Source organism: Homo sapiens, chromosome 15, assembly GCF_000001405.40.
Source record: "Homo sapiens chromosome 15, GRCh38.p14 Primary Assembly".
Taxonomy (NCBI): domain Eukaryota; kingdom Metazoa; phylum Chordata; class Mammalia; order Primates; family Hominidae; genus Homo; species Homo sapiens.
In genome coordinates, this window is record NC_000015.10 from 43422875 (window position 1) to 43437025 (window position 14151).

The following is a 14151-nucleotide window of genomic DNA, read 5'->3' on the forward strand; positions in this document are numbered from 1 at the left end:
GTCCCAGCTACTTGGGAGGCTGAGGTGGGAGGATCACTTGAGCTTGGAAGTCAAGGCTGCAGTGAGCCGGGATCATGCCACTGTACTCCAGCCTAGGTAATAGCATGAGACCCTGTCTCAACAACAACAACAACAAAAAAGGCTAAAATAGTATTACCATTTGGAAAAATGAAGGACAAAAAGGTTATAAGTATCTATAGACTACAAGAAAGTCAAACTGGCTTTATCTCGGATGCCTACTTTGATAAATTGGTAGTAGCTGCCTGGTGCTCAGTTTTAAGAAGCCTTCTGGAGGCTAAATCCCAGACTTAGTGGGAAAAGATTCTAAGACCAATCAGCAATGTTCGCTATGGGCACAGCATAGAGAAATTATAGCATGAGTATGACACATCTGCCTTCCTAGTCTAGAATGTTCACGCAATATTATGTTAATTGCCAGAGAGGATATGGAGATGTATAAGATAGATCCTTCCCTCAAAGAGTTTAGAATTCCTTTTGGGAGGCCAGGCATGGTGGCTCACGCCTGTAATCCCAGCACTTTGGGAGGCAGAGGCAGGTGGATCACTTGAGGTCAGGAGTTCAAGACCAGTCTGGCCATCATGGTGAAACCCCGTCTCTACTAACACAAAAAAAATAGCCGGGCATGGTGGTGCACTCCTGTACTCCCAGGTACTCGAAAAGCTGAGGCAGAAGAATCACATGTGAACCTGGGAGATGGAGCTGCAGTGAGCTAAGATTGTGCCACTGCACTCCAGCCTGGACAACAGAGTGAGACTCCACCTCAAAAAAAAAAAAAAATCCCCATGGGGAGACTGTATATAATGACACACATACATATACATTTAGATAATACTATAAAATGATGAAATAATTATCTCTGATCCCTCCCTTCTTGAAAATCTCTCCTCCTTTAAAATCCATAAAAGTACTTTTCTCTTTCTTTCAGTCTACCTTTTTGGCTACTTCTATTTATGCTTCTTTGGGTTCCTCTTTCTCTGTGTGTTCCTTTAAAATCGGTATTTCCCAGGACTCTGTTTTTATTCCTTTTCTCACTCTCACATGCTTTCCCTGGTCAGTCTCACCACACTCATCCTTACCTCGCTACCAAGAATACAATGATGACTCAGCTTATACAAATTTCTACTAGTCTTCCCCTTGGATTTACCACAAACACCTGAAATTCAACAGATCCAAAACAATCTGTGATCTTCCCTCCATTTCTCTGCCTTCAATGAATAAATCCTAGATATCCCCAGTGCATCTCACATCTCCTACAGCTCTTTCTAGCAGAGACTGGTTTCTTTCAGCCGAACCTCCATTCAAGAATTTTGAGATGAGATACCTCCTTGCTCCCCACTGCCATTTACAGACCATTTCTATTTCCCCACCTCCTCTCCTTCAAAACCACTATTTGCCACTTTCTTAAAACTATCTTCACCCCTTCCCTAGTTGTTATCCACTAACATTCTCCAAATCACCCTCTCTCATGCATGAAGACCTTAGCTTCATAACCTCTCTACCTTCCCCATTCCTACTTCTGTCATCATTCTCAGTGGCCTATTTTAACTAGATACACTTGTGTTTTCACATCTGCAAAATGAGAATAATAACTGGATCTATCACAGAATAGTTGTTAAGAATTAAATAATTCACTAAAGTGCTTAGAATAATGCCTGGCACATAGTATGTGCTCAATAAACGCTAGTCACTATCATTATTTAAGTTTAGTAGTGCTTCCCAAACTATCTTCCATAGGGAAAAAACAGGTATTACTTTAAAAAATGCTAATGGTCATGTAAGTTTGGGAAGTGCTGGGTTAAACAGAATAAAATAGGTATCCTTACTAGAGGACTTCTTAGAACTTTTAATATGGTAATATGTGAATTTTCATGTTAGTGGGGACAGGGATTAATGGCGTGCTATGGTTTGAACGTCTGCCCCTCCAAAACACATGTTGAAATTTAATACCCAATGTAACAGTACCAAGAAGTAAGACCTTTAAGAGGTGATTGAGTCATAAGGGCTCTGCCCTCATGAATGGATTAGTTCATTCATGGATTAACGGAATTACGAGCTAACAGATTAATGAGTTATCACAGGAGTGGGTTAGTTATCACCAGAGTGGGTCTGTTATAAAAACTAATTTGGTTCTCTTTTGTAAGGCCCCTGGCAATGTGATACCCTGTGTTGCCTCGGGACTCTTCAGAGTCCCCTCCAGCAAGAAGGCCCTCACCAGATGTAGCCCCTTGACCTTGGACTTCCCAGCCTCCTAGACTAAGAAATAAATTTCTTTTATTTATAAATTATCCAGTCTCAGGTGTTTAAATATAGCAACAGAAAACAGACTAAGAGAGCGTTTCATGTTTCTCAGGACCATGGAACCTTTTCCCTCCATCAAACTGTCTAAGAGGCCTGCTGTTTCCAGAAATATACTTTAGAAAGCACCATATAAAATACTAAATGGGCCTAGCAGCACAGTAGCTCATGCCTGTAATCCCATTGCCTTGGGAGGCCAAGGCAGGAAGATCACTTGAGAACAGAGTTCAAGACCAGTCTGGGCAACACAGTGAAACCCCATCTCTACAAAAGATACAAAAATTAGCAGATGTGGTAGCGTGTGCCTATGGTCCCAGCTACTCAGAAGGCTGAGGTGGGAGGCTCCCTTGAGCCAGGAGGTCAAGGCTGCAGTGAGCTGTGATCATACCACTGCACTCCAGCCTGGGCAAAAGAGCGAGACCCTGTCTCCAAACATAAAAATAAAAAATATATTTTAAGAAATGAAGTAATGTGTTTAACACTTAATGTAGTGTACTAGGCACAGAGTTTAATGTGGACTACAACAGTTACAAAAATTTTCATGAAGGCAAACTGCTTTTCATAATTTCTCCAAAATAGTAATAACATGAAAAAAGTTCCACGAACAAAAATCTTTTTAAAACATTTTTAATCGGGAGGCTGAGGCAGGCGGATCACGAGGTCAGGAGATCGAGACCATCCTGGCTAACACGGTGAAACCCTGTCTCTACTAAAAATACAAAAAATTAGCCGGGCGCGGTGGCGGGCACCTGTAGTCCCAGCTACTTGGGAGGCTGAGGCAGGAGAATGGCGTGAACCCAGGAGGCGGAGCTTGCAGTGAGCCGAGGTAGCGCCACTGCACCCCAGCCTGGGCCAAAGAGCGAGACTCCGTCTCAAAAAAAAAAAAACAAAAAATATTTTTAAAATGAAGATAAAGCAGTATTTTAAAAGAATTATTTCTGGTATTTGGTATACACAAAGAATAAAAAACAGGCCGGGCGCAGTGGCTCACGCCTGTAATCCCAGCACTTTGGGAGGCCAAGGCAGATCACTTGAGATCAGGAGTTTGAGACCAGCCTGGCCAACATGGTGAAATCCCATCTCTACTACAAACACAAAAATTAGCTGGGCATGGTGGCACACACCTATAATCCCAGCTACTCAGGAGGCTGAGGCAGGAGAATCGCTTGAACCCAGGAGACAGAGGCTCCAGAAGGCCAAGATCAGGCCACTGCACTCCAACCTGGGCAACAGAGTGAGACTCTGTGTCAAAAAAAAAAAAAAAAAAAAAGGAATAAAAAACAATTACTCAATGAGTGTCTGTAAAACCAATGAAATCTGAATAATCTGTGGATAGTAAAACAAACAACAATTCCTCAAACTAACATCAAATGTTATCTGACATGAGGGCCACAATAGCCCACTGAAAAATAGTAATAATATGTTCTATTTAATAAAACTATACACTAGAGTTTAACTCTCCCTGAGTACAACCTCCTACACGGCCAGCAGATAGAATTAAAGGAAAGTATCTGGGTAAAGGAAGAAAACAGTTGTGCCTTGCCGGGCGCGGTGGCTCACACCTCCAATCCCAGCACTTTGGGAGGCCGAGGCCTGAGCACAAGGTCAGGAGTTCAAGACCAGCCTGGCCAAGATGGTGAAACCCCGTCTCTACTAGAAATACAAAAAAAAAAAAAAATTAGCCAGGCACGGTGGCGGGTGCCTGCAATCCCAGCGACTTGGGAGGCCGAGCCAGGAAAATCACTTGAACCAGGAAGGCGGAGGTTGCAGTGAGCTGAGATTGCACCACTGCACTCTAGCCTGGGCAACAGAGCAAGACTCTGCCTCAAAAAAAAAAAAAAAAAAAGAAAATAGCTGTGCCTCTTACCAACCAATAAAATGGTTCCCAGATCTTAACATATACCAACAAAGGTCCCAGATCTTTAATTCTAGAAAATCTGTCTAATCTCTCTCATTATTAGATGTAAACAAAGTCAGCATAGTATGCCATTCAAGATAACAAACAGTCACTAAATGCCAATACTGAGCTGACATTTGTAATGAGTCTATAATGAATCCCACTAAAAAATAAAGGTGCATTTCTTACCAACAGGTCTATGACCACACACAGATAGTGACAAATAAAGAACAGAATGAGTAGACATGAAAATATGTGAGAAAACACAGGTAGTTTGAAACGGAGTGTTCTAAACTCCATTTGAGTTTCTAAGGATTTAAAATAATACATACAATCTTTATACATGAGAGAGATTTATCAGTCTGTTCTTTACAGAAAAGGAAAGCATGATGGGATGCATTAAATAACTAACCAATGGTCAAACAGCAAACCTATGGCTGGGGAAAGCTTTAGAAAGCAGGAAGTCTAACTTCTAACCCTGTTCTTCTATCTCTGGTAATAAAAAGATGAAGAAAAACAAAGTGTTGCACAGGAAAGCGGGATGGGGTAGAAAGTCAAGAGAATTTTTCTATAGAAAGAAATGTGGGGTCAGGGACAATAGCTCATGCCTGTAATCCCAGCACTTTGGGAGGCCAAAGCAGAAGGATCACTTAAGCCTAGGAGTTCAAGATCAGCCTGGGCAACACAGTGGGACCTTGTCCATCCAAAAAATAAACAAAATTAGCCAGGCTTGGTGGTTCATGCCTGTAGAACCAACTGCAAGGGAGGCTGAGGCAGAAGGATCACTTGAGCCTGGGAGGCAGAGGCTGCAGTGAAACAAAATCACGCAACTGCATTCCAGCCTAGGTAACAAAGTAAGACCCTGTCTCCAAAAAAAAAAAAAAAAGAAAGAAAGAAATTTGCCACACAGACTCAGAGTATGTATTACCTCAGTTACTTTTCTTTCTACTTCTGTTCCATCCACATAATACACATCTGTAATGACACGAGTGACAAGTGTGCGTACTTCCCGGATTGTTCTCATGTGACGATGTAAGACATGGCCATGTGGAGGCTGAGGCATATCAAACTCTTCTTCTCCCTGTGACAGAAAATACAGAACATAAGCACAGGTCTCACTGCAAGCTGTCAAAATCACAAATCTTATGCTTCATGATGAGAACTGTTTAGAGGCTCCATGAATCTAGTGTGACAGAATCTTCCTACTGTTTTGTTTTATCCACCTATAGGTAAGACCAGGGATGGATGAGTTATATAGCCAGAGGCTAAGAGAAGTTTATATGAGCATGACCTAATAAAATGACCTATTCTTGTCTAAATCAAAATCATTACATCTAGTACTTGTATTTACGGACATTTAGGTGAACCTTTGACCCCTAAAAGTTCATTATTTTTAAACCGTATTTCTTCTAATTCTGATGCTATCTTGCAAATTAGTAAACGAGTTTACATTTGCAATAGCTCTTTAGATAAAAGGAAGGCACTCTTTAGTCCTTTATATAAAACCAGAATGATGTATCTGTTAATCTCAGTTTATCTGTTTTTCCTGTATTAAAGTGAAAACCACAGTTTATTACCTAAAACAATATACACTGATCTCTCCTAGAATTAAATATAAAATATTTCATCTATTCCAAAGAACAGATTATGACTAAAGAGTTGAGCTAGTGTCCAGAAATGGAAAAATTAGCAAATTAAGATTTTATATCTAGTTCTACTACAAGAATAATGTAGGGCTAAATAAGACCCTACTTTTTATGATAACTATTAAATAATATTACTTAGGAGGATTGAGCTTCTTTCATTCAAAAAACATTAAGCAAATATTTATCGAATAACTTAAGGGTGCCAGGTACTATACTAGACAAATAACTGCTGGAAAATTCAGGACAGGTAAAACTCATTCAACACTGAAAAAATTCAAATGCACTATTTCTTATTTACAAAAATACAACAAACTAATAACAACTACTGCTATTCAAAAGAATAACTGAGTTAACTAACATAGCATCCAGCTTCATTATTTCTTGTTCATAATTTTCTATTTACAGACAGCCCGAGTTCATATTTTAGTCAGATCTGAATAATTTTTAAAAGATAACTTCTTAGCAAATTAGGTCTTAAAGCCCTATTTACCACCTCGAATCATTAGTTAGTTTGAGACTTTCGGCCTTTATTACCTAGGACCTGCCTGTGGCTAAAAAAAAGTGCTAGAATTTCAGTCCTGCATTTCTGAAAAAATACATGTTTTCTAATAACAACTATATCACATTTTTTCACATCTTTATCCTCCCTCCTACACCCCACTAACTCCGTAATTCTGAAGAGAAAATGCACACTTTTGTCTCTCACCTTATCTCCCCTATGGTAGGCTGATTTTACTTTCAGCATTCAGTATCAAAGTAGCCAAGTCTTTAAAAAGAATTACATATACAAATGCAATAATGGTAATTCTGCATTTTTTTCCTGACATGTGGTAGTAATTTACCAAAAGCTTTCAGTAATTTCTCCGAATAATCCCCACTCCAATTCCAACTTGGAAACTGGCAGAGGTGAAATATTTACTAAAATGGAGATATGTAAATTATGTGACTAGTTATAAATAATATCAAAGGCATGAAACGCTACTCATCCAATTATTTAAAATACTTCTACATACTTCTACACAGACACAACTCTGTCTAATGAATGGTTAAAGCACAGGTCTGTCCTACCTCAATCATCAGGGTACCCATGCATGAGAACTATGACAGCCTGTACTTCCTGCCTGCACACACAATCAGACTATTCCGCACTAAAGAGAAAGTCAGTCTAAAAGGTTTCAGTGCTTTACATATTCCTGAAATGCAGCCAAGAAGCTTCCCTGTATTCTTCCAGTTACAACAGCCATATGAATGATCACTTCAAGACAGACACTTAAGCGTGTCTGAGAGAATAAGGAGAAAAGGTAAAGAGGGCAGACAGAAAACTATGTTTACTCACTTCAAATACTCTTCTGAAAAGAGGTGTCTGTAAAATAAATAAATTGATGATCTTACCACCATTAAGGGAAGGAAACAAAATGAAAATAAAACCACACTTTCCCTTCCACCTGGTTCCACGTCCTTTTTGACATATAAATGAAAATTTCAGGAGTGTCAAAGTAGGCTGCCTATGCTTTTCCACTAGCACTAGCCTATGTCCTATCTACACTGAAGGGGATTTTTAAAAAGCACCGACACCTGGAAAACTTGCATACAGCCTTTCTCATTTGCTAACCTCTCTTCAAAAGATGGCACACCAATTTCAATTTCTGTTATTCTATACACCATCTATATATTTTTACTATGGTAAAATCTGCATAACATAAAATATATCATTGTCTTGAACACAATGCTCATATCCCATATGTGCCACAGGTGTTCAATAAATAAGAACTGTATTTTATTTTTACAAAACAAACAACTTGGACAATCAAAATGAGAGGTATATCAATAATGAAGATTTCCTAAGTAGATCCCAAATGAAGATAATCTACCACAGCAACTGAAAAAGCAATTTGACCACTACAATATCTCCTTTATCTGAGGGAGATATGTGCCAAGACCCCCAGTGGATGCCTGAAACTGCAGATAATATCAAACCCTATACACTATGTTTCTTCCTATACATACAGACCTATAATGTTTATAAATCAGGCACAGAAAGATTAATAACTAATAATAAGATAAACTATAACAATATACTGTTCACAATTTCATGGATAGATTTGTTCTTACCACAGATTTTAGTAACTTCAGCATATGATTTTTTTTCTTTCCTTATTAAGACCTTTTACCTTTTCACTTAGAGGAAGCACTTTATGACTTACTTCTCTGGCATATTCAGATTGCCGGCATCACTACTCTCAAACTTTGGGGTGAGAGTAAAACAAGGGTTACTTGAATGCAAGCAATGCAATACCATGAGAGTTGATCTGATAACCAAGACAGCTACTAAGTCATTAACAGGCAGGGAGCATATATAGCATATGGATATGCTAGAAAAAGGGAGGATTCATATCCTAGCCAGGACTAAGAGGGACAGCACTTTATCACATTACTCAGAACAGCACAGTATTTAAACCTTAGTATTTCTAGAATTTTCCATTTAGTATTTCTGGACTGCAGCTGACCATGGGCAACTAAAACCACCAAGAAAAAGAAACCACTGATAAGCAGAGACTACTGTTTACTAGTAACTTCCAAATTTTCTCTGCCATAGATCCCACTCTGCCACTCAATGAAATGTTGTGAACTTCTACGTATTTGTTAACACATACATTTCTACGACTTCTTTTCATCTACTCAATTTTTTTTTTAAGAGACAAGGTCTCACTATGTTGCCCAGTCTAGTCTCAAACTCCTGGGCTCAAGTAATCCTCCCACCTGAGCCTCCAAAAGCGCTGGGATTTCAGGCATGTGCCACCAGGCACAGCCACCTACTTAATTTTTACTAGTACCGACACTTCCCTACTCTATTCCCTGGAACCTGATACTCCTCCAGCCTCGTTTTCATCAGCCCCAATCCTTTTCTTCACATTAGCTTCTAGTCTAGCCTCTCTTCTGCAGTTCTTGGTCACCTGGGGACTTTTCCCCATCTCTCTCTCTATTCCTGTTACCATTCTTTCTGTTTCATATACTGAAATACACTATTCTTCGTGCTGCTTCTTTCCCCCTTACCTTCTACTCTCTGAATTCCTGAGAACCATGATGAAATAGACTTAAGGGAGAGAAAATTAGATCTGATGGTTAGAAGGCAAGATAAAAAGTATGGAGAAGGAAAAGAGTGAATGTAGAAGAGTATTACAGGACCCAGGCAGAATCTCTGGCTTTCTTCTCCAGTAAAGACCTACCTAAAAAACTGTAGCAATACTACATTTTCCCTAAAAGACTATCTAATGGCTATAGCTACCCACAATTTCACTACCATATCTGTATCTTAGAAAAGTTGTTTTTGTCTTTTAACCACTGTTCTGTACAAAACTGTCAAGAATTGTCATTAGGCAGACATGCCACAACTTAAATTCTCTGAGAATCCTGAAAGTTAAAAACAAGGCCTCTGATGCACCCTAGTATGTTCTCTCACCTGGCTATGGAGCGACTCTGTATCATCCCCAGGAGCACTGACTGGTTTCTCACCACTCCCCCTCTCAGTCTGAACTGTGGCATCTTGCTTTCCAAAGTTCTGGTCCACTGTACTGGTCCCCTGCTCACACACATTCTTTATAGTCTGGGTTGCTGCTGAAACAGTTTCTGGGACCCTCAAGGAACACTCCATGGTTTGGATTCCTATGTTATTTTGGCTGGGCCTTTCAATCAAGGCCTTACTAGGATTTTCCTTATTAGTACTCCGTCCTTCTTTCTGGTCTTCTAGCACATCTGTCACCATTGCCTCTCCTTGAGGACTGGATGGCCCTTGTATGACCATCTTCTGGGAAGCAGGAGAAACAGGGTCCTTGACAGGACTAATGGGCTTCATAGGCTGTTGACTCTGCCTGATTGTATGGTCACCCTCCAATTTTTCTTTCTCCTCTTCTCCTTGAGAACTTGGAAAGTGGAGCAAGTTCCCCCTGAAAATGCAACATATAAAGAAGCCATGTCAATTAAGCAAGTGTATGTGTGAACGTGTGTGTGTGCGTGTGCATGTGTGTGTGTAGTGGCAAGGGGGGAGCCATATTTTGACAATTTGAGAAATGTAAGGAAGGGAGAAAGTCAGGTAGTCAAGCATTATCACCTTGGGAGGCCTCTCATTATAATTTCACTCCTGTAAAAAAAATAATGGTAGATAGAACAATTCCACCATGATGATAAAAGAGTCATAAAATTTCTTCCCATCACTAGCTATGAACTCTGAAACTTGATGCAGGAAAATGAAGTAAACAAAAAGATGTAAACCCATTACTGAAGTCATAGACAATGAAGGGCAACTTAGGGATCTATTTTGAAAAAAGATCAATTAAGTCAAGATGTCTTATCTGGCCTTATGATGGTTCTAACATTCCTTAACTGATTCCTAGCATTCTAGATACTGTTTATCCCCACCTGAGCAATATTTTTAGGAAAGAAAATCTGACTTACAAAGGATAAAGCTGTAGGTAGATTCTAGTTTTGTCAGCTATACTGATATATCTACAACTAAACATTTCAGAATGAATTGGTTTCTCAAAGACAGTTCTTAAGATACAGCCCATTTTTTTTCATAAGTCATCCCATTTGGGTATCAGTGATTCGTTCCTTTATTCCACAAGCATTTGCTGAATGTCTCCTACAAACCACATACCACGATTTCCGAAGTGACTAGGAGCTTTCTTAAATATCCCTAACAATTCTCCAGAATAAAAACGTCCAGGCTAACTCCAAGTCAACAGAAATTTGACATTCATGTCTTATCTATCTTTATATTTAAAACACCTAACTCACAGCTTAATATAAAATAGATGCTTAATACATGTACTTTGAACAGAAGACTGAATGTTCTCTGAATCAATTAATTGCAAAATCTACTCAGATTAAATCAACATAATGCAGTTTTAGGCTCCATTACACGCACAATAGCCAGAATAAAAATAAAAGGAATCCATTCTGAACTGACCATGCTAAGACCACATCTGGAATATCTGTTTCAGTTCTCGGCATGACAGTTTACAAGGCATAAACTGTAGATAAACTCAGAAGGTAACATGAAGGACGATAAGGGGCCTAGAAACTATGTCATATGTTGATTTAAGTATGTGGCCAGAAAAAGAGTTAGGGCTGTCTCCTATTTGACAGAAGCTCTTATCCTTAGGATCTCAGCTTTCCTACGTAGACAGGGTAAAGGAAGCAGGAAGTGCTCTTCAGGGATTGCTCTGCTCTAGATCTTGAAGGAAAAGGAAAAAAGAAGTTTCTGAGGTTTCTATATTGTTTAGCTCAGCCTACCAGAACAGGAGCTCAAAGAGGGATTTCAAATAGAGTTCTAGCCAAGAAGAGCTTAGTATAAATTTGGTTGTTATAGTGTGTGTCCTATCTCTCAGGAACCTCAACTGAATGAGAATATATGGTCCAATGAAGAAGAAGTAAGAACAAGACCACCAGGAGACACCTACCATGAGTAGCACTTACCTCTTATGAGGTTTATAAATGTTCATATATGTAAAATATTGAGCATAGCAGATGCTCAATCAATATTAGATGCATAAGACAATGCAATTAAACAGACTCAGTTCACCTTCAATATCAACTAAATATTCATATTTAAATCTTTAAGACATCTAACATACCAATGGCTGAGCAAGAAGGAAAGGATTCAAAAGCCAGAAGAGCCAGGACTCGATTTTAGGAATTCAATTATTGTTGTTTCCTATCCTAAACAAGCTTATAAATTTTATCTCATGCTACAGACTAAATGTCTATGTCCCCTCCACCCCAAGACTTACATTAAATCCTAACCACCAAGGTGATGGTATTAAGAGGCAGAGCCCTCATGAATAGGGTTAGTGCCCTTATAAAAGAGACCTCAGAGAGCTCTCTTGCCCCCAACTGCCATGTGAGAACAGCTGTCTACAAACCAGGAAGCAGGCCCTCACCAGACACCAAATCTGCCAGTGCTTTGATCTAGAACTTCTCAGCCTCCAGAAATGAGAGAAATAAATTCTTTTGTTTATAAGCTATCTAGCCTATGGCAGTTTGTTGCAGCAGCCCAAAGAGACTAAGACACCTCAGAAGCTGTTTATTCAGGTTAGAATACCTGAATTGAATTTTACTTCTACAGCAATCCAATAAATTGTAAGAAGTGCCATACCTCTCTCCCTCTCCATTAGTTCCAGCTATGCAATTCTACTCTGGTCACTATATGCCAGACTTAGAAACTGATGCTAAGAAAGTAAATTTTAGGCTGGGCACAGTGGCTCACACCAGTAATCCCAGCACTTTGGGAAGCCAAGACGGGTGGATCACCTGAGGTGAGGAGTTCGAGACCTGCCTGGCCAACACGGCAAAACCCCGTCTCTACTAAAAATACAAAAAAAATAGCCATGTGTGGTGGCATACACCTGTAGTCCCAGCTACTTGGGAGGCTGAGGCAGGAGAATCCCTCGAACCTGGGAGGTGGAGGTTGCAGTGAGCCAAGATCGCCCTACTGCACTTCCAGCCTGGGTGACACACAGACCAAGACCCCATCTCAAAAAAAAAAAAAAAAAAAAAAAAATCCAAATTGAAATAGGGAAGAATACATCTCCATATTTAACAAATGTCTAACTATTCTATTCTGAGTGTAGCTCTGTTTATGAGGCATCTAGAATCAAATCCAGCTAGATTCCCAGATCTTTGCTCCACCAAGGTTAAACAATATAACCAACATCTTGGCACCTCTATTTTAAAACGCTTTAATAAAAAAGCAAGGCAATACAATGACATCAATAAATTTAGTAATAGCTGGGTCATTACTACACCACTGTTAAAATCACATGATTTCAGGATCATCTGATTCCCAAGAATATCAACAAGCTCACACTTATTCAGAATGCCCATTTAATGCACTGACATATTTATTTTAAATATTTCTTTCAATAATGAGCATAGAAATTTAGAAATTATGCTACCTATTAATTTTTTTTTTTTTAATGGATAAGACATAACTCTCACTCTCTCGCCAGGCTGTAGTGCAGTGGCACCATCTTGGCTCACTGCAACCTCCTCCTCCAGGGTTCAAGTGATTCTCATGCCTTAGCCTCCAGAGTAGCTGAGACTACAAGCGTGGACGACCCTGCCTGGCTAATTTTTGTATTTTTAGTAGAGACAGCGTTTTACCATGTTGGCCAGGCTGGTCACTAACTCCTGGCCTCAAGTGGTCACCCCTCCTCAGCCTCTCAAAGTGCTGGGATTACAGGTGTGAGCCACCCCATCCAGTCTTTTTTTTTTTCTTTAGACAGAGTCTGGCTTTGTCGCCCAGGCTGGAGTACAGTGGCACAATCTCGGCTCACTATAACCTCCACCTCCTGGGCTCGAGCCATTCTCCCACCTCAGCATCCCAAGTAGCTGGGACTACAGGGATGCACCACCACACCTGGCTAATTTTGTACTTTTTGTAGAGACGAAGTTTCACCATGATGCCCAGGCTGGTCTCCAACTCCAGAGCTCAGGCCATCCACCCACCTCGGTCTACCAAAGTGCCACCGCGCCTGGCTAAATCATGCTACTTATATCACTGTTACTGATATACCTACTGACAAAACATTATCACATTGTCTAATTACGAAATCACTGAATTTTAGAGGTGAAAGATACTCACTTCATAATGAAAATACAGGTCCTTTTCCACTGCCATTACTTATTTCTCTACACTAAATATAAGTATCATATATTCCATATAAGATACTATTTATTTATTTATTTATTATTATTTTTTAAGACATGGTCTCACTCTGTTCCCCAGGCTAAAGTGCAGTGGCGAGACCACAGCTCCCTGCAGCCTCGACCACCCAGGTTCAACCAATCATCCCACTTCAGTCTTCCAAGTAGCTGGGACCACAAGCGCATGCCACCACATCCGGCTTTTTTTTTTTTCTTTTTTTTCTTGGTAGAAATAGGGTCTCACTATGTCACCCAGGCTCATCTCAAACTCCTGGCCTCAAGTAATCCTCATGCTTTGGCCTCCAAGTGCTGGGATTACAGGCGTGAGCCACCGTGGCCAGCCGCTTCCTTAATTATTTAAATAGAGATAAAGGCCTGTAACTCAAAACTTTTTTCCTGCCTCACGACTGTTCTAAGAGATTATGGAGTAAAGAAATTATGGGGCTAAGCACAGTTGCTCATATCTGTAATTCTAGCACGTTGGGAAGATGAGGCAGGAGGATCACTTGAGCCCAGGCGTCTGAGACCAGCCTGGGCAACACAGTTGAAAAAAAAGTTGAAAAAAAAAAAAATTAGCCAGACACGGCA

At 39.9% G+C, this 14151-nt stretch overlaps 1 protein-coding gene across 11 annotated transcripts in view; it reads right to left on the reverse strand.

The window, feature by feature from the left end:
• The window catches only part of TP53BP1 (tumor protein p53 binding protein 1), a 107580-nt gene that overhangs the window by 19814 nt on the left and 73615 nt on the right, over positions 1–14151 (reverse strand). For 10 of the 11 annotated variants that reach the window (XR_007064488.1, NM_005657.4, NM_001411050.1 and 7 more), the window contains 2 exons: positions 9320–9803; positions 5142–5294 (listed from right to left, as the gene is read on the reverse strand). Coding sequence is in view for 10 of the 11 variants with exons in the window: in NM_005657.4 (NP_005648.1) it covers positions 5142–5294; positions 9320–9803 (637 nt within the window). In the remaining variant the exon portion in view is untranslated. Of the gene's footprint in view, positions 1–5141; positions 5295–9319; positions 9804–14151 lie in introns of those variants that run through there. The other variant, XM_047432999.1, reaches the window with a different exon arrangement.